Here is a 19,463-nt window from a genome sequence, read left to right on the forward strand (position 1 = left end):
GGCCGGAGGGATGCTGAGGAGTGACCAACTTGCAAACAACTCTGGAGAACCCAAGAATGTTAGCCGATCCCCAGGCTGCCCGGCTCTTAGTCACCTTGAGTTACGACCGGCACTTGTGCATCATCGCTAGTTCAAGGCCTGGAGCTACTACCCCTCTCCCGCAGGACCTGAGCCAATGGCTACGCTCAAAGTTTCAGCCCATCCATGAGTGGCCAATGGTGAGCAGAGAGACAAAGGCACGGCAGCCCCTCTCATCTAGCCCTGCAGCATGGTGAGGCCGGGAATTCCCTCCCACTTCTAATTTCAAGTCACCCTGGGGTCCATGCTCAATAGGGACATGCTCAATCAGGCAGTCAGTTTCTGGTGACCAAGCATCCCTTCCCCTGGGCCTTGGGGACTCAGGCAATGGCCGAGCGCCACAGCCCCCACTTCCCCTTAAGTGTGATAGATGGACTGAGTTTTCCTGGCAGTTGAAACACTTTGCATTGATTTGTGTATTAGTTTGTATATTGTTTTGAGAGACCAATTTCAAGAGAAGCTGGGCCTGTTGTCCATCAAAGCCCCACGGTGCTTTATCTTCATTCTGAGCTGGCTGCTCGTCAGACGCAGGGCAGGCTGCTGCCAAGAGAGCCCGCTGCCGAGGACCTCCGTCTATCACTGCCTGGGGGACACGCTGCCTTGGGATTGTTCAAACTCCAGGGAAAGGACAGTTATCCACACCCACCCACTGTGCTCCTTGGAGAAGATCTGAGCTCTTCTGGTTGGAATTCTTGGGTCTTTGGGATTCTCAACATTTCCAGAGATGAGGAGGCTATAGGAATACTTACAACCATTTTACAGCTTAGGGAAACAGAGTCAAGTGCCGTAAAATGGACACACACAAAACACTCTCGGGAGCTGGGTCCCTAAGTTACACAGAGAACCTGGCTTCCCTGGTCTTAGCAGATCTCACAGCCCCTTCACCCCGGCCTGTGACACACACAGCCCTCCAGACCTTCCTCCACCTGCACCACTAGGTTTATGCTAGAAGGTTCCCAGTGTGCCCACTTCTAAGCAGTCTTTGCTGAGGGGGATGAAGAAAAGGGGACCTGCCAAGAGGCCACTGAGGTGGAGGAGTCCTCGGAGACTAAAGCAGCAGAAGTTTGGAGAACCTCTTCAAAAGAGACAGGAGAAGCAAGGCTGCGTGCGAGTCAGGAAGAACAGGCATGGTTTAAATCTTTTTTCTTGGAGAGTAAACATTGTCACATTTCTGCCTCTGCTGCTTCAGAGGATGCGCCTCTCTGGACAGCCCTTCAGGCATCAGCCTGTTGGCAGCCGCGCGTCCTGGAATACGGGGTCGCTGGACATAAATCCATCTGTACTGGCCGGGGCTGACAGCGACTGTCAGTCCCCAGGACAGGGTCACCACCTTTCTCTCCCTTCTTCTCTCTCCTCTTCCCACTGTTTCAAGGACAGCAGAGTCTTATGGATTTTTCTTCTCCTGTCTTGAATGTGCAAAGGTCCAGGGGACCACAGCAATGCCACCTTCTGGTGTCAAGAGGGAGGTGGAGGCAGGCACTGAATAAGGTCCCAGGCGCTCCTTGCCCTGGAATTTTGATTCTTCAAAGGGCATCAGAATGCGGTGACCAGCAGCACACAGCAACCAGTCTCTCAGCGGGGCTTTAGGCATGGTCACTTGGGCTTGCCCAGGGAACCTCATCCCGGAGGATCTTCCAGGAAGCCTGAGGTCTCCTACTAATGGAACTGTGACTGGCTCACCCAGAGGGGGTCAGGTTGGGACCTTGGAGTGGGCACTAGATGAAGCAAATGGGATTGACTCTAATAAAAACATGGAAGAAAAAAATCAGAGACCTTCAGTTCATATCTGACCCTTGCGTACTCCCATTTGTGGGACCCCACAGCCCTTCCTCTCACCTTCTGTAAGGAGTATAATGTTCTGGATCCTTCCATTCTCCTCCCCTCAACCTACCTGTTCAAAATGTAGACAGCTCACCAATATATGAAAAGATGCTCAACCTCATTCAGAACAAAAGAAATACAAATTAAAACTACTCTGAGATTCTATTATCACTATCAAGTTGGGAAAAGGGCCGGGCACGGTGGCTCACACCTATAATCCCAGCACTTTGGAGGGGCCAAGGCGGGAGGATGGCTTGAGGCCAGGAGTTCGAGACCAGCCTGCACAACATAGTGAGACCTCATTTCTGCAAAAATAAATAAATAAATAAATAAATAAATTATATTTTTTAAGTTGGCAAAAGGCTGCAAGTGTGATAACAAACAGTGCTGACAACACTGTGGGGAAACAGACCCTCAAATTCACTAATGGTAGGCTTGGGAGTGATTATTAGGATGTTTTAACTGCATCTTTCTGTGTTATAATAAAAAGTGCATGGCTGTGCATGGTGGCTCACGCCTGTAATCCCAGCACTTTGGGAGGCCAAGGCAGGCAGATCACCTGAGGTCGGGAGTTTGAGACCAGCCTGACCAACATGGAGAAACCCCATATCTACTAAAAATACAAAATTAGCCAGGCGTGGTGGCGCATGCCTGTAATCTCAGCTACTCAGGAGGCTGAGACAGGAGAATCGCTTGAACCCGGGAGGCAGAGGTTACAGTGAGCCGAGATCGTGCCATTGCACTCCAGCCTGGGCAACAAGAGTGAAACTCTGTCTCAAAAAAAAAAAAAAGAAAGAAAGAAAAGTGCATTTGGTCTTTGTCTCCAGTTCCTGGCACACAGCTTCTAAAACCCTTGGGGTTTTCAGAGTGTTAGGAGTATCTTTCGTTGTTTGTAGGAGTCCCATGTCAACCACATCAGAGTTGATGCAAGGTGGAGCCCCTAGATAGCTTCAGGATGGTTCTGGTCACCAAAAAGAACAAACACGTGATCAGAGGGGGTAACTTTCAGCCCCTGACCTCCAGGATGGGAGGCGGTCTGGAGACTAGGTTCTAAAAACTTTTGAATGCTGAGATCCTGGGAGCTTCCATGTTGGTGAACACGCTGATATGTTGAGGAAATGGCACTTGGAGGACTCAGGGGCTCTGCCCACCACTCCCACCATGGAAATCACTTCCATTTGGTTGTTCCTGACTTCTATCCTTTATAATAAACCAGTAAGTAAAGCACTTTCCCGAGTTCTGTGAGCCATTCAGGGGCAAGGGAAGGGGGTGTTGCAGGAACCCCAGAATTTACAGTTGGCCAGGCAGAAGTGTGGGTAGCCCAGCCATTCCCTTTGTAGGTATCATCTGAAGTGGGGGCATTTTGTGGGACCGAGGCCTTAAACCTGTGGAGTCCAGCGCAATCTTTCAGTAGTTACTGTCAAAATTGAATTGAATGGTTGTACACACAGTTGGTGCCGGAAAATCAGAGACTTGGTATTGGAAACCCCACATACATTTGATGTCAGAGGTGATGTCAGAAAAAAAGATGAAAAAAAAAATCACACTTTCAAAATTACCAGAATGTGTATCTTTGACCTAGAAACTCCGCTTCTAGGAATTATCTTACTGACACACTTAGCAGCAAGCAAAATGATATAAATACAACCTTATACATTTTGGCATTGCTTATAGCAGTAAAAGAATGGAAACAGCCAAATTGTCATCTGTATGGGAACTAGTTAAAGTATTGAACATATGTACAATGGAATTCTATATAGCTATAAAAAAATTGAAGAAGCTCTATATTGACATGGAAAGATTCAAGATACATTGTTAATTGGGGGAGAAAAAGCAAGATGTAGAACACTGTTTATAGTATGCCATATCTTATGTTAGATGAAAGAAGGGGCTGGGCATGGTGGCTTATGCCTGTAATCCCAGCAGTCTGGGAGGCCAGGGCAGGAGGATCACTGGAGCTCAGGAGTTCAAGACCAGCCTGGGCAACATAGGGAGACTCCATCTCTACAAAATAAATAAATAAATTAGGCAAGGATGATGGTGCATGCCTGTTGTCCCAGCTACCTGGGAGGCTAGGGTGGGAGGATCACTTGAGCCCAAGAGGTCAAGGCTGCAGGAAGCCAGGTTTGCACCACTGCACTCCAACCTGGGTGACAGAGTGAGGCCCCATATCAAAATATAAAAAGAAAGAGGGATAAAGAATTTAGACTTGCATTAGCTTTTACTTACATTTCTTAAATCTCTGAAGGTAAGAAACTAACACCAGTGGTGGCTGCTTGAGTAGGGAGAGGAGCAGGTGAGGCACAGGGAGGGAAGGACATTTTGTACTGATGTGTGAACCACACAGATGTTAATACCTATCCAAGAAAAATAAACACCTGTACACTCACAGCAGGCAAACTTAGAAGGGACTTTAGAGATCCTATTCCACCCTCTTCCCACTATAAAGATGTGGAAATGGTGGCCCCAAAGACTCCCTGGCTCAGCCAGCTCTCAGATCTGGTACAGGATTGGCATCAGAATTCAAGGTGCACAGCTCCCAGGTTCAGTGCTCTTTCAAACATACCCCTAGACTATGCCCCTACCTAGGGCAGAGCACAGCAAGATGTGGGCAATATCTTTGGATCACTAGTCCCTGACACAGCACGTGCCCCCTCTTTATGAAAAGTTTTCAGAATGAATAAACATCGTATTGCACTTTCTGTGAGCCTCAAACCTCTGGCTAAGCTAATTAATTAATTAATCAAAGTGACGGCAATTTACATTCCCCAACCATGATCGTCACATTTTCCTGGAAGCCATGAATGGTAGGATCACAGGCCCTTCAGCTAAGGAAACATGTCTAGGGAGGAGCCCTTTACCACCCCTTAAGTGAAATGCCATTGGACAATTTCCTGCATTTCACCTTCTTGCAGAATCAACCTATGTACAGAACAAGAAAGGGAAGAAACTGATTAGGTGGACACAGCCAATGTTTAACATACTTAACACAGCAACTCAGGAGAAGAGAACTTATTTATGTGCACAAACATTGGCCAACAAAACCAGTGCCCATAGGGCATGGCCTTTGAATGGTGTAGGCTGCAGTGGCGATTTGGTGGGTGGCATCTTGCATCATGCCCACCCTTTTCCTTGGTCAAACGTAGCAATTTAACTCCAAACATTCTTGCAAGATGGTTGGCAGATGTGCCTTTCAAAACCTGGGATGTGAAGCAAATGAGCATCATCCTCTAATGGCGGCCTGCTACCCATGCCCAGACAGACACGGCACTCACCCTGGCCAGGGGCAAAACCTCAGAACCCTCCAGAACATAACTGTTCATCATCCATAACGTGTGACAAACCAGGATGCGTCTAAACAGGCCAGGAGAGTTCCAAGGGGCACAAGCTAAGTAAGACAATAAACACGTTGTAAGGCAGATTGAGTGAGGCCATCAATGATGGATGAATGTTTGGTAAATCAAAGAGATCTAAGGCTTACAAGGACAGCCTCATTGGAGAGCTTTTGGTCACAAATTAGAGGCATGCTTGGGTCCTTAGACACGCTGAGTTGACTGCTGCAAAGAGAGCAAGAGCGATCAAAGCAGCCAGAGGGAGAACGGGTAAGTGAGATGAATGGAGATCAAATCCCATTATAACCAATTCTATTACAAAGAAAATTTCACCTTAACAAAAACATATCCAAGCCCCAGGCATTGGCCCATAATAATCATATATTGTTCAAATAACCTGGTGTGAAGCATGCTGTTCTTCAGTTCTTCTATAACAGTCCCTAGCTATCACAACACTCCAGCTCACACATCCCCATTTACCGCGTGATGAATTACTGGCAGCGTGTGACAATACCCGCATTCTTTTCCAACTCCCTTACTGTGGGAGGTGACATTTGAAATGCCCTCTTGGAGGGTGATGTTCTGAAAAACTTTAAGGAATTGGTCTTCACAAGAATCTTTACCTCATCTCATAGTTTCCATCAAATGAGCTGCCTAGCTCCAGGATCATTACGAAGATAATTTAAAATGTTAGATAAACACCTCCATAGACGCAGAAAAACATTGGGGGTCGGGGGGTTATAAAGATATAAACCTTGGTTATTTGCTTACATTTGAACCCAATCTTTTATTTACTTTTAAATTTCTATTAACTTTTTCACATGCAGAATTTTTTATTTTTAGGGGTTTAAATATAAGATTATTTCTTCTTTCTTTTTTCTGTTTTAATTTTATTATACATATTTAAAGTACATAACATGATGTTTTAATATACATATAGAGAATGAAATATTAATAGTTACTATATTGCATTAAAATATCAATTTTCCCACAAATTTGCCCAGTTTTTTTATATATAGTAAGAGCACCTAAAATCTACTCTTCTGGGAAAAATCTTGAATGCATGACAATGTGTATCATAGCTTTGCTTCTAACAGAAAAAGACTTGGAAACAACACACATGTTTATCAACAGAATACATAAATAATGATGTAATGGAAAAGTGCATAGTTGTCAAAATTAAGAAACCTAGGGCTTAACATGTATCAATTTGGATCCATTGTACAAAAAAAATTTTCAGGCAGATATATGCAGTATGATGCCTTTATATAAAGTAAAAAGTACACAAAGCAAGATATTAAGGACATATGTGGCCAGATGCTGTGGCTCCATGGGATTACAGTAGCCTGTAAACCCAGCAGTTTGGGAGGCCAAGGCCAGAGGATTACTTGAGGCCAGGAGTTCAAGAGTAGCCTGGGCAACATAGCAAGACCCTGTCTCTACAAAAAAATTTAAAAATTAGCCAGGTGTGGTGGTGCATGCCTGTAGTCCCAGCTACTCTGGAGACTGAGGATGGAGGATCGGTTGATCCCAGGAGTTTGAGGTTGCAGGGAGCTATGATCCTACCACTGTACTCCTGCCTGGGCAACCAAGCAAGACCCTCCCTGTCTCTTAAAAAAAAAAAAAAAAGTGTAGATATTAAACGTATAAATACGTGATGCATGGAAATGAAAACATCAAAGTTAGAACACTTGTTTCATCTTGGGACAAAATAACTATGGTGGGTTTCAACTATACTTACATATTTTGTTTCTTAAACTGAGAGGAAGATGCATAGTATTCATACAGGAGTGCTGGGAAGGGAAGGGCGTGGTCCCTTTAAGTGAAAGGAAGAAGGGAGGGGAAGGGCTGGGTAGAGGAGGGCGTGGTCCCTGGTTAGGGCTCTACCCTAGGGACCCAGGTGAGGACAGGCACTTCTGACTTCTCCCAAAACATTGCATTTCCCAAGACCACCCTGGCTTGCCACGCCCCCACCTGAGCCTATAAAAACCGGATACCCTAGCAAGGCAGAGACAGAAGCTGTTGGACGGTGAGAGGAACACGTTGGCGGAAGAAGACAAGCAGCTGGATATCGAGGGGACATCGAGGGGAGCATGCTGGCAGAAGAACACACCAACAGAGGGACACCCGCACTCTGGCTGGTCTCACAACCCGCAGGACAAGGCAGAGTTTGGCTGGGGCAATCGGAGGAACTCCAGGGAAAAACCATCTCCCTTCTGGCTCCCCCATCGGCGGAGAGCTACTTCCACTCGATAAAACTTTGCACTCATTCTCCAAGCCCACATGTGATTCGATCCTTCCGGTACACCAAGGTAAGAACCCAGGATACAGAAAGCCCTCTGTCCTTGCAACAGGTAGAGGGTCTAATTGAGCTGGTTAACACAAGCCTCCTATAGACGGCAAACGAAAAGAGCACACAGCAACACACGCCCACTGGGGCTTCAGGAGCTGTAAACATTCACCCGTGGACACTACCGTGGGGTCAGAGACCCAGAGCCTGCTCGTCTGTATGCTCATCTAGAGGTTGGAGCAGCCGGGCACTGAAGAAGCGAGCTACTCCCTCTGTGGCAAACCCTTCGAGGGGGACAAGGGAACCTTTCCCATTTCAGTATTCATTAAATAGTCTCTGGAGTTTTTTAAAATATCTAAAATATTTCCCAATTTAAAACAAAAAGGAGTCACTGACCAAGAAAATTTGGAATACAAAATTTCGCATTTGCATTCCTGGCCCCTCTAAACTAATGTGTCCAGCCCACATTACCCACCTCTGCCCCTCATCTCAGTAGCTGGTCTTATCCTGAGCTATACGTGTCTTGTCTCCCATTAACCAATAATGTAGCTGATAATCCTGTGACTCTGGCCTTGAGAGTAGGCCAGTGCTCTATTGAAAACAAATTCATGGAAGTCCTTTATTTAACTTGCATGAGATTGCTAGTTTATCAGCTAGGTACTAGCAATTTTTTATTATGATTATTATCAACGTATGTTCAGAAAATAAGTTTCTTAAATGTATTTTCATGATGACTAAAGTAATACGTAGTCATTATATAGAATTTGGAAAGTAAGTATCAAGAACAAAATGAAAATCACTTGTATTACCACCATCCAGAGGCACTGTAAACCAATATGTATATTTATAACATCAGAATCCCACTGAAACATAATTATATATCTTTATTGTTTTCACTTGGCATTTCCTTTGAGAACATAATTTTATTAGCAGAATAATATTTCATCTCAGGGATGAATCAGAATTCATCAACCATCTCCACACTGTTAAACATAAAAAGTTTATTTTTTTCCTCTAAAAAAATATATTCAAAGCAGTACTTGTAGTTAAAAAAAAAAAAAAACACTACTTTTCCACTCAGATTTCAAAGATTCACATAATTGTGATAAAATTACAAGATCACCAAGTACAACAGGTTTGGGAATAAACAGAGTAGATTCTTAGAAGGCAAGAAACTCTATGAAGCCTTTAGTGCATTCCTGGCATCTATCAGAGCGTGTTACCGCAGGAACTGGGAGCTGGGTAATTGAAAGTCAGTTAAGAGAGTAGAATCGCTGAATCCAAAAGGTGTGTTATATATGTTTATTTGACAGATATTACCCAATTTCCCTTCAGAAGTTCATAACTTACATATGAAACACCAACCATGAAAAGGATAGTTTCTCTGCATCCTGACCACACAGAACACTGCATTTTTATCAAACTTATAAAAGGTTTGCTAATCTATAAGACCAAAACAATGGTATCTCATTTTTGTTTTGATTTGCATTTAATTATTAGGAAAACTGAGCCTACTTCCATGCTTCTTTGGCCGTTCATGTTTCTTTTTATGTTACTTCCCCATGCATTCATTGACCTAATTATGTTTCAGAAATTCTTCGCTCTTCTGGCCGGGCATGGTGGCTCACACCTGTGATCCCAGCATTTTGGGAGGCCAAGATGGGTGAATCACCTGAGGTCAGGAGTTTGAGACCAGCCTGGCCAACATGAGGAAACCCCATCTCTACTAAAATTACAAAAATTAGCTGAGCATGATGGTGCACACCTGTAATCCCAGCTACCCTGAGGCTAAGGCACGAGAATCACTTGAACCTGGGAGGTGGAGGTTGCAGTGAGTCGAGATCATGCCACTGCACTCCAGCCTGGGTGACAGAGCAAGACTCCGTCTCAAAATATGTATATATATTCTTCACTCTTCTGATCTCTCTCAGTGGTACCCCTCCAAAGTCTTAAACCTTTATGACTTTTTCCTATTTCTTTTGTCATCTTCATGGATATGGGGAAGGAGGAGAGATAACCCTGTGTATCTAGTCTGCCATCAATTTTTCCCAGACTTTTAGAATCCATAGACTTATACAACTTAAAAATGGGAATTGTCAGTTCTTTGGTTTGCTAAGTGAGGACAATTAAGGAGGAAAACGTCCTACCATCCACTTTGACCATTATTTTATTCAAAAAGGAGAGGGGAGGTGCAGACGGGTGAGTGGTGTGAGGGGAGAGGATATTTGAATATATCTACAGGAAAAGCAAGAGCACAATTTCCAAGCTAAGGATGGCCCATCAGAGGGACAGCTGCTAACCTTACACCAGTGTTTTCACTGAGAAGGATGAAAGCTTTGCCACCTGTCTCATGGCATCTCTCTATGGACTGGCATTTGGGAACCTCTGCCCCAGGAACCCACACTGTCCACTTCTCTTCCTGGAATTGCCCCTCCCACCACGACAAGCACCCCCAGCCTTGGCTGCTAGGCATCCTTGAGCACTTTCACTACCAGGGAAAATTTGTGGTTGATACAGAAACCAGGTCAGACAGCGCCGAGGTTTAAAGTAGACCAGAGGAAGGCCAAAAGCCTTGTCCAGTGAGGGGATTCACACGGTACCACGCAGAGAGTTAGAATGAGGCCCCTCCATCTCCACTCCAACCATTCCTGCTGCCATCTGTGATCTTAACCCCGCTCTTAAGTCTAGGACGGCTACAATACTTCTACTGATCCCCACTGTCAGTCCATCCCACACTGCCCCTACAAGAATCTTGCTACCTTGACCCTTTTGCTCCATGCTGAAAGCCTTCACTGCCATCCCCTTTTCCCTCCCCCCACCACACACCCCTTCTTAACCTTGACCCAAACTATTCTTGCAGACTGATCTTCCATAAGATGCTTTCTGGGGGAGTATTGCTTTTACTGCCCAGCATAATTTATATACTTTACATTGTATAATTTAGCAATTCTTAGATGCCTGGCACCATTCCAAGCACTTTTCACATGCTTCATTATTACCTTCCCCTTCTTTTTGCAACAGACCCCAGAGGTGGTGTCATGACCCTCCCTCAGGCATCCGTGCTCTCTCTCCTGGGAACCTGCATGCTCAGAGACATACAGGGATAGAGGGGCCTGGGGCAGGGCCTGGAAGAGGAAGTTCATGAGCAGCTGCTGCTGGGAGTCCCCACAGCTTCCCTGCCCTGGCAGAGACCCCTGTGTTCTTCCAATAAATCCTCCTGGGACTGAAGCCACTGGTGCTATTGCTTATCATCCCCAAATCCCCAACTCACGGGTGTGCACTCCTGAGAACCTGCCCCCAGTCCTGCCTCCCATGGCCACTCCTTCTATCTTTAATGCCCTTACCTGACCACCACCCCCAATCTCATCCCAAGGCATGGTTCAGAGGCTGCCCGCTCTTTAAAGCTTCTCTGGGTACCTTAGCAGAAATTGGTCTCTCCCTTCTCTGATACTCCCAGCACTTTCTCACCTCCAGCCATAAGCACCCTCCTATTTCTTTGTGTACATGTCTTCCTTGCTTCCTGAGGTCAGGATACTGTTCTATACCTTTGATCACTCATTATTTCCTACTCATTGTAAGTGCTCAATAAATATCTGTTAAGAAATGAATGGGAAAAGAGTCTCTCCCAGGGAGCAAAATTCTTTTGAGGAGTTGTCTATGGCAAGACTTTCACTAAACAGAGCCATTCAAAGATGTAATGAATACAGGAAGCCTCCTATCACTGAGGCACTCACAAACAGGCTTGTTGGGAATGCCAGGCGGGTGACTGACATCTCAGATGGGGCCTGGGGAGGGCGAGGCAGGGGTGGTGGTGGGGGCTAGGAGTGGATGAAATCGCTTCTAACTATTTCATCTTGTGGAAAGCATCTGGGGCTTTGAAAGTCATATGGATGCAGGATCCCTAATATAACACTCACTTGACTCACATAGCCTTTGTTTGAACACGTGGTCCAATCTCCTTTCTTGGTTTTCAGGTTTTCATTAAAGAGGAATGGTGCCAGGAATGGCACTGTCAGCCCTGACTCATCCATCCTCCTGGACTTAATCAGGACTGACCTCCCAAAGGGATGAGGTTTAGGGTGGAACATTCTAGACAGTCATCAACTTAGAGCAGTATTTCCCAAAAAGCTGCTTCTCAGAGGTCTATTAGAAGTCTTGTAAGTAAATAAATAGAGGTTGAGTTTGAGTGGAGGGGTCTGCATGATCAAATAAGTTTAAGAAATGTTGCATATTATACTCCCCTCTTAGATGTTAGCAGTATACGCAGTATACATTTAGCAATAAAAGACTCTAAGAAACCTTGCAATGTAGAAATCTGTTTGATTTCATCCAACCCAGCATATTTTCCAGGCTGGTTTTGTCACAAGACACTTCTTTCGGAAGGCAGGTTTAAGAAACAATAACCCTGACAAGTAATAATCAAGAAAGCCACAATTTAGGACTAGGGCTCAACACCTGAGTGTCCCAGGTCAGTGGGTTTAGCCTCTCAGGGCAGACAGAATGCCCATAAACATTTGTCCCTGAAACACAATGATTTGGGGGATCATCCCAGCCCTGAATTGGGGCTGATGCAGGTTCACACCCTGTGCCTTGCATGATATCAGTAACTACCCTGGATAGCTTGGAAGCAGTCAGAAACCTACAATTAACCAGAGGGATGGCAGTGTGGAGGGAAACACAGAACGTCCTCTTTTCTACTTTTCTTTCATCTCTTTCCCCATTTCCACTCTCATTTCTGGTTTCCTTTCACAACCTGTTACATATGTATCTGCTAGACATCCAGAAAGTTACTCCCGAAGAGTCTCCCTCTCCCCACCACCTCTCCAGATCAGCAGAAACATTAGGAGACCAAGAAAACATTACAAAGTCCTTGTTGATTAGGTTCGCATTATCTTATAACTTTCAGTAGAATTTTGGGTCCTTATGGAAACTAACTTTAAGATGATCCAGTTTAACCTGCTTCCTCTCTGAGGTCCAGAGGGGTAACATGGCTTTCCCAAGGTCACACAACTAGTGAGTGCAAGAGCTAGACTCCAACTGAGGTCTCCTGTCTCCAAGAATGGTGTTATTTCTACTGCACTGCAGCAGTCTGTTCATTATGTAAATCCCCAGAGCATCAGCTTGAGTCCCCAAAAAAGATCAAATCATGATTTATGTCACTTCTAAGTTTACAGAGGATTACATTCAGAATTCTCTTCCCTGTGAGGTCAGAGCCATGCTTCCCATCACAGACTGGGATGGTACCCAAGCCAGCACAGTTGTGCATGCAGAATGACAGCCTCCACATTTAGACAATGACTCATCCCTTCGAATATCGCTGGGCTTGGAATGACTTGAAAGAGAAGGAAGGAAGGATAGCGATGTTGAAATCTCAGTGGTGTGCTGATGGAGACACACTCCTGCGAATGAAAACCAAAAATGAATGCTTCTGTTCCCTCCCTCACTGGCTGATACTCAATTAAAACTTTGATACCAATAAAACTTTGAGAGCCAGGCATTGCTTTAATAAGGAAAAGACTGAGTTATACATGCAGGAAAATGTCTACAAACATCCTAAACTTGATTGCTTTTTGGGTAATGCTAATTTGTGAAGATCAGTGAGAAATGCACGTGGGATGTAAAGACAAGTTAGTGGTCCACACTGATGAACAGGACTTTGCTGTTGATGCCTGCTGCAAATGTGGGAAATAATCTCCAGTCACTGCCCTCCAAAAGCTAACAATTTAATGAGAAGCCAGAATGAACACTTGGCAGAAACACACAAGTATATGGTATTTAATTTAAAGAGAACATCATATTCTGGCGTTGGAGAAAAACATCAAGGACGATCCAGGTGAGATGGAGTTAATCAAAGAGGACTTACTGAAGAGGTATGAGCTTTGTGCCACGAGATTTGGAAGGAAGGAAAGACCAGATGGCAAGAAGGCTAGGAAGCAGATGCCCAAAGCAGGTGAATGGCTTGTACATACGCCCAGAAGAGGAGAAATGGTGAATGCAGCAAATCCTCACATCAGGAAGATAAGGCTGTTTATATTTACATATTTCTGTACACTTCTCAAAGCAAGTTACCCCATTCTATGTGGACGATGACTTCAGGAAACAGGTAAGACAGGGATCAAGTTCATTTTACAGAGGAAGAAACAGGTTTAATAAGATAAAGCTTGCCTTAGGGCTTATAGCCAGCAGGTGATAGAGCTAAATCTTGAACCTAGGTCTTTAGACTCCAAATATAGAGCATTTGGGGGTTCCCTTAACAATCCTCTTAATCATAAACAAAAACATAGACAAATTAATATCTTTTAAAATATCCCAATCAGGTGTAGGTATGGGATGAGGGAATATGCTATATACTTTCCAAGTTGTAAATTACCTTGTTATTTATAAATAGTTATAAATTTGACCTGTTCAATTTGTTAGTCAAGAGTCATGGAAAATAAGTTAATGGAGTCAAGATCACAGTTTCAACATCTCAGGAAGAATGGTTGAGAACATAGCTGTAAGCTATTTATCTCTTAGCTCACTAAAGTACACCAATCTGCAAAAGTCTGAGGTAACAGGGTAGAAAATAGAGGCCTTGATATTAGAAAATGAATCTCTCAAATGCACAAACCCCCACAAATGGAAAAATATCTCCAAATATCTACTTAACAATGAAGTGCACAAAATCTTTACACATGTAAAAACTGGGATATTATTGTTAACTTGAAGTTAAACTGGGCTGGATACTTAACTCTTTTCCCTCTTATAGCCTGAATTCAGAAACTTCCAGCTGGAATCCGGCCACGTCTTTGCACAAAATCATCCACTCTTAAAGACTGTCAGATTCAAAATTGCTTAACTTTCATCCCTAATTAAAAAGGCCAGAAGAATGCTTGGTAAATACTTTGGGTCTAATTAAGTCTGATTGCCTTGCAAAATGGAATCAGTGTACTCGGCTTCTTACATTTTGAAATTCCAAGGTTATTTATGCTCTCAATTTGCCACAAATGATAACCTCTGTATGTGGAATTCAGTGGTTCAAGAGCACACGAACCGCAAGATCAACCAAATTCTCAGGTACTGTGAAAGAGGCTGTGCCTTCTGCCATCGCTTTATCTCTCTGCAACACTATGATCCTCTACCCTCACACACACGAAGAGGTCTCGGGATCCCTTCTCTTCTCATTGACATTTTCTCCCTTGTCAATGGTCCTCATACTTAGCTGTACATTAGAATCACTAGGGAGCTTTAAAAATACTCGTGGCTGGGTGCCACCCCCAGAGATATTGATTTCATTGATTTGGAGAATGGCCTGGTGTTGGAATGTTTTAAAGCTTTTAATAGGCAGCTAAGCTTGAGAATGACTGCAATTCAGCGATCTTGTCCAGTGCCTAGGTTTTAAATCCATCCACAGGCTATGATTCCCAAATTTAATCTTCTGTTTGAGCTCTCCCCTGAGTTCCAGAATTATTCATTCAAACTGCTTACTTGGCATGTTCACTGGGTATCTAAAATGCTTCACAAACTTCAGAAGTTGAAAATACAACTCTTGATTTCTCCTGGCTTCCAACATGTTTCTCTTCCAGTGGCTCCCGCGGTAGTAAGTAGCTCAAACCAAAAACCCAGAAGCCATCCTTGACGCTTCCCTTTTCCTCATATTCCACAACAAATTCATGAGTAAAGTCTTGTTTGTTCTACAACTAAAGTAGATTTCATACTCATTATGGTAGGCAGCCCCAAATGGCCCCCAAAGAGCCCCGCTTCCTGATATCCATACCCTGTGTAGTCCCCTCCCACATTGTACAAGGGTTTGAACTGCATGACCAATAACATGTGGCCAAGTTGACGGCATCTCACTTAGAGATTAGATTAAGAAAACATTGCTCACGTGGCAGGGAATGAAAGCCTCTGGCCAACAGCCAGCAAGGAACTGAGCCTTCCAACAATCACACAAGTGAGCTCTGAAGTGAATTCTTCAGTCCACTTTAACCTTGAGATGGCTGCAGCCCCAGACAATGATTCAATTTAACGTCATAAGAGACAGTGATTCAGAAACACCCAGTTAAGTTGCTCCTAGATTTTCAGTCCTCAGAAACTGTGAAATACAAGTGTTTATTGTTTTAAGCTGCTAAATTTGGGGGTAGTTACACAACAACAGATAATGTACCCATCTACATTTTTGCATCTCATGATTACCATGCTACCTCAACCTGCCTCTTTTCTTATCTGCACTCCTGCAGTAGCCTTCTAACCTGTGTCCCTTTCCCATTTCTGCTCTTCAAGAATTTGTCATCCACATTTGTATTTTTTAAATAAAATTAGTTCACATCCCTCTCCTGTTTAATACCCTTCAGTGGCTTCCCAGTTGACTCAAAATAAAAACCAGTGCCCCCCAAATAGTCTTTCACAATCTGATTCCAATCTATATCTCGAACTTATTCTCATTTCTCTTTTCCCATTTCTTACCATGATCCAGCTATATTGGCCCTTCATTTTATACCAAGACTCTTGATTTTCTTTATGGTTAGAGGGCTAGGAGAAAGAGGGAAATTCTAACAACAGGGAACAGGATCCTGGTAACACTGTTCACTACAAAAATGACTTTCAGCCACATCTCTGAATGTTTTCTTTGGGCTTGAAGGCAAAGTAGTGTGGTGTGGAATAAGAATAGGTGCTTTTGCTTCTGGCAAATGTTGAACTAAATGAGAAGAGAGCACCTTCCCAGTATAGAACATCAAAATACTGGCTAAACATAAAACATATTTTTAGATCATGGCTGAGTTAGCAGGAGAATAAGGAAAACAATCAGAGGAAATAAATATTAGGAAATAAAATTCAATGGGGATAAGTAAGCCACAGAAGCATTTTCCTTTAGGAAATCCTTGGATTTCCTAATGGCCTAGAGACATATAAGACACATAAGAGACACACATGAGACTGGAGAAAAATCCTAGGACCCGAGTAGAATGGGACTTTTATTAGCAGGAATGCCCATGAAATGACACCTCAGTGGCACCACAAAAAAGGATTTTTCTGACTCAGCCTTGGCCCTTAGAGTAAGAAGGTGGCAGGGAGAAAAACATCTTACCTAATATTTCCTACCACAGGCTAATATTTATAAGGCTTCAAGGCTGGAATTCATACCACCTGTGGGTCCAGAAGGTAAAAATTTAAAACTCCAAACAGTTTAAAGTGTTTCCAGATGAATAGTGCTCTAAGCATCTGGCAAAAACAACACAAATCCTCTCTGAAGGAATGAATCCTCAACTTAGACCTCTTGTAATTTTTACAAATAAAGAGCAAATCCCTACATGCATGGGAATACAAGCCAACGTGAATAAGAATCAGCAGAAACAATAAATTGCAGAATCAGACCCATAGAGCCTACAGGTATTGAATTGTCACATAAAGAATTTTAAATAAGTTTAATATAAAGAAATAAAAGGGAATTTATAATATTACAAAGGAGCAAGAGACTATCAAAGTCAAACCAAATAGTTTTAAAAACCAAATATAACTTACCTTAAAATGAAATCATAATAAATTAAATTCAAAACTCATTGGATGGGTCAAACAGCACATTAGACACAGCAAAATGTATCTGGCAAACTGTAAGATATAGCTGAAAAATTACCCAGAATGCACCAGGGAGAAAAAGGTGAAAAATATAAATAAGTGGTAAAAAGACAGGAAAGAATGAATGAGAAGATGCAACACAAGTATAATTGGGGTCCCAGAATATGCAAATAGGAAAAGGAAGAAGAAATATTTGAAAAAATAATGGCTTTAAATTTTTCAGAGTTGACATCTGTATTAGACCGTTCTCACGCTGCTAAATAAAAACATATGCAGGACTGAGTAATTTATAAAGAAAAGAGGTTTAATTGACTCACAGTTCTACATGGCTGGGGAGGCCTTACAATCATGGTGGAAAGCAAAGACACATCTTACATGGTAGAAGGCAAGAGTGAGTTTGTGCAGGAAAACTTCCACTTATAAAACCACCAGTTCTTGTGAGACTTATTCACTACCACGAGAACAGTATGGTGGAAACCACCCCCATGATTCAATTATCTCCACCTGGCCCCACCCTTGACATGTGGGGATTATTACAATTCAAGGTGAGATTTGGGTGGGGACACAGCCAAACCATATCAACACTGCTTCTCAGTTTCAGGGAATCCAACCAATTCCAAGCAAGACACATCATAATAAAATTGTAGAAAACCAAAGTCAAAAAGAAGATCTTAGAAACAACCAGGGAGTTTTTTAAAAGAAGAGGGAAAAGCACTACTCAAGGAATGGAGATTACAAAGATTAGATGGACAGCTGACCTCCACAGCAACAATGAAAGCTAAAAAGTAGTAGAATGGTATCTTCAAAATGCTAAGAGAAAATCACTGTTGGCTGGGGGCGGTGGCTCACGCCTGTAATCCCAGCACTTTGGGAGGCTGAGTTGGGCAGCTCATGAGGTCAGGAGATCCAGACCATCCTGGCTAACACAGTGAAATCCCGTCTCTACTAAAAATACAAAAAAAATTAGCCGGGCATGGTGACACGTATCTGTATTCCCAGCTACTGGGGAGGCTAAGGCAGGAGAATTGCTTGAACCCGGAAGGCGGAGATTGCAATAAGCTGAGATCGCGCCACTGCACTCCAGGCTGGGCGACAGAGTGAGAGTCCCTCTCAAAAAGAAAAAAGAAAAAGAAAAAAGAAAATCACTGTCAACTGAGAATTATTTTAAATATATGCATCGAAACTATAGTTCAAGAAAAAAGGAAAAATGCAGCTATTTTCAGACATACAAAAAGCTCATTACAACAGTCCTCCACTAAAGGAATGTCTGAACTAAAATATGTACCTTAGGAAGTGGAAAAATGATACTAGAAAAAGGTGAACTGTAAGAATGACTATTAAGCAATAAAAAATAGTAAATGTGCGAAACTAAAAATAAATATGACTATATAAAGTATAACATACATATCTGATTTGTGGAATTACAATCAAGCTGAGCATTGAAAAACAAAACAAAAATTGAAATCTTTTACTAATGAAGTTTACTTTCTAGCTGGGGAAACTGACAATCATCAATTAAGGAAATTAAAAAAAGAAAAGAAGAAACAGATCATCTAAACAGTAACAAGTGCTACACAAAGAATTTAAATAGGATGATGTGAGAGCCAAAGACTTGGGAGCCACATTGGGCTTGGTGATCAGGGAAGACTTTTCTGAGCAGGTGACATTCAAGCTGAGATCTGAATCACAGGAGGGAGCCAGCCACATAGTTGTGGAAAACAGCATTCCAGGCAGAGAGAAGAGTTATCACAAAAGCCCCCTCTCTGTCAGAATCAACATCTCTGAGTTTCAGTTTCTTCAGCTATGAAATGAGGATAACAGTTTCCTCATACTGTAAAAACCAACTTGGATGAGCTTTTGTATGTGAATTACTTTCAAATTTTTTAATTGTAATGTACATGGTAATGTTATGGAGGCAGCCTTGCTTTCATAGGAATATACTGTGGACCAGCCAGAGCAAGACTTAAGTTCTAGGTTTGACAATTCTTGTGTAAACATACTGAGATCCAGCATCCTCACTTGTTAAATGGGAATGACGCAGTTGTCATAAAGATTAAAGGGTGAACCATTCATACAGAGCCTGGAACTGTGCCTGGCACACAGTAGAGCTCATTAGGAATTAGTTTATTTCCCTTTCCTCTGCTAAAATATTATCTCTTCTGTAAAGATGTTAGCGACCGCCTCTATTTTCCATGCGCCGACTCCATCTAGAAGTTCTCTCTCTTCTCTGCTCTCCTACTGCACTTTACCTATAAGTCCCTCTCAATAATTCCTTCCCCCACCCCCGTTTCTACCAGTGGTCTGTAAAAGTCATAAGTTCACAGACTTTATTCTAGCCATCTTTTATTCTCCATAGTAGGTAACCCAGTGTCTCACACAACATAGGT

General features: G+C 43.0%; 1 long non-coding RNA gene across 1 annotated transcript in view, besides 1 other annotated feature; it reads left to right on the plus strand.

Annotated features, from left to right (window-relative positions):
* FLJ40288 (Putative uncharacterized protein) overlaps positions 1 to 1,836 on the plus strand; it is a 79,976-nt gene extending 78,140 nt beyond the window's left edge. The window contains exon 5 of the long non-coding RNA NR_046323.1: positions 502 to 1,836. This is a non-coding gene — a long non-coding RNA (Putative uncharacterized protein FLJ40288). The remainder of the gene's footprint in view (positions 1 to 501) is intronic.
* Positions 13,497 to 14,696: an enhancer, noted in NCBI's record as "CDK7 strongly-dependent group 2 enhancer chr7:132425189-132426388 (GRCh37/hg19 assembly coordinates)". NCBI's record gives its function as "activates an origin of replication core promoter dependent on BRD2, BRD4, P300/CBP, MED14 and CDK7 cofactors, with strong dependence on CDK7, by STARR-seq in HCT116 cells {active_cell/tissue: HCT116}" and the evidence as "EXISTENCE:reporter gene assay evidence [ECO:0000049][PMID:35650434]".

This window comes from Homo sapiens, chromosome 7, assembly GCF_000001405.40.
Source record: "Homo sapiens chromosome 7, GRCh38.p14 Primary Assembly".
NCBI classification, from domain to species: domain Eukaryota; kingdom Metazoa; phylum Chordata; class Mammalia; order Primates; family Hominidae; genus Homo; species Homo sapiens.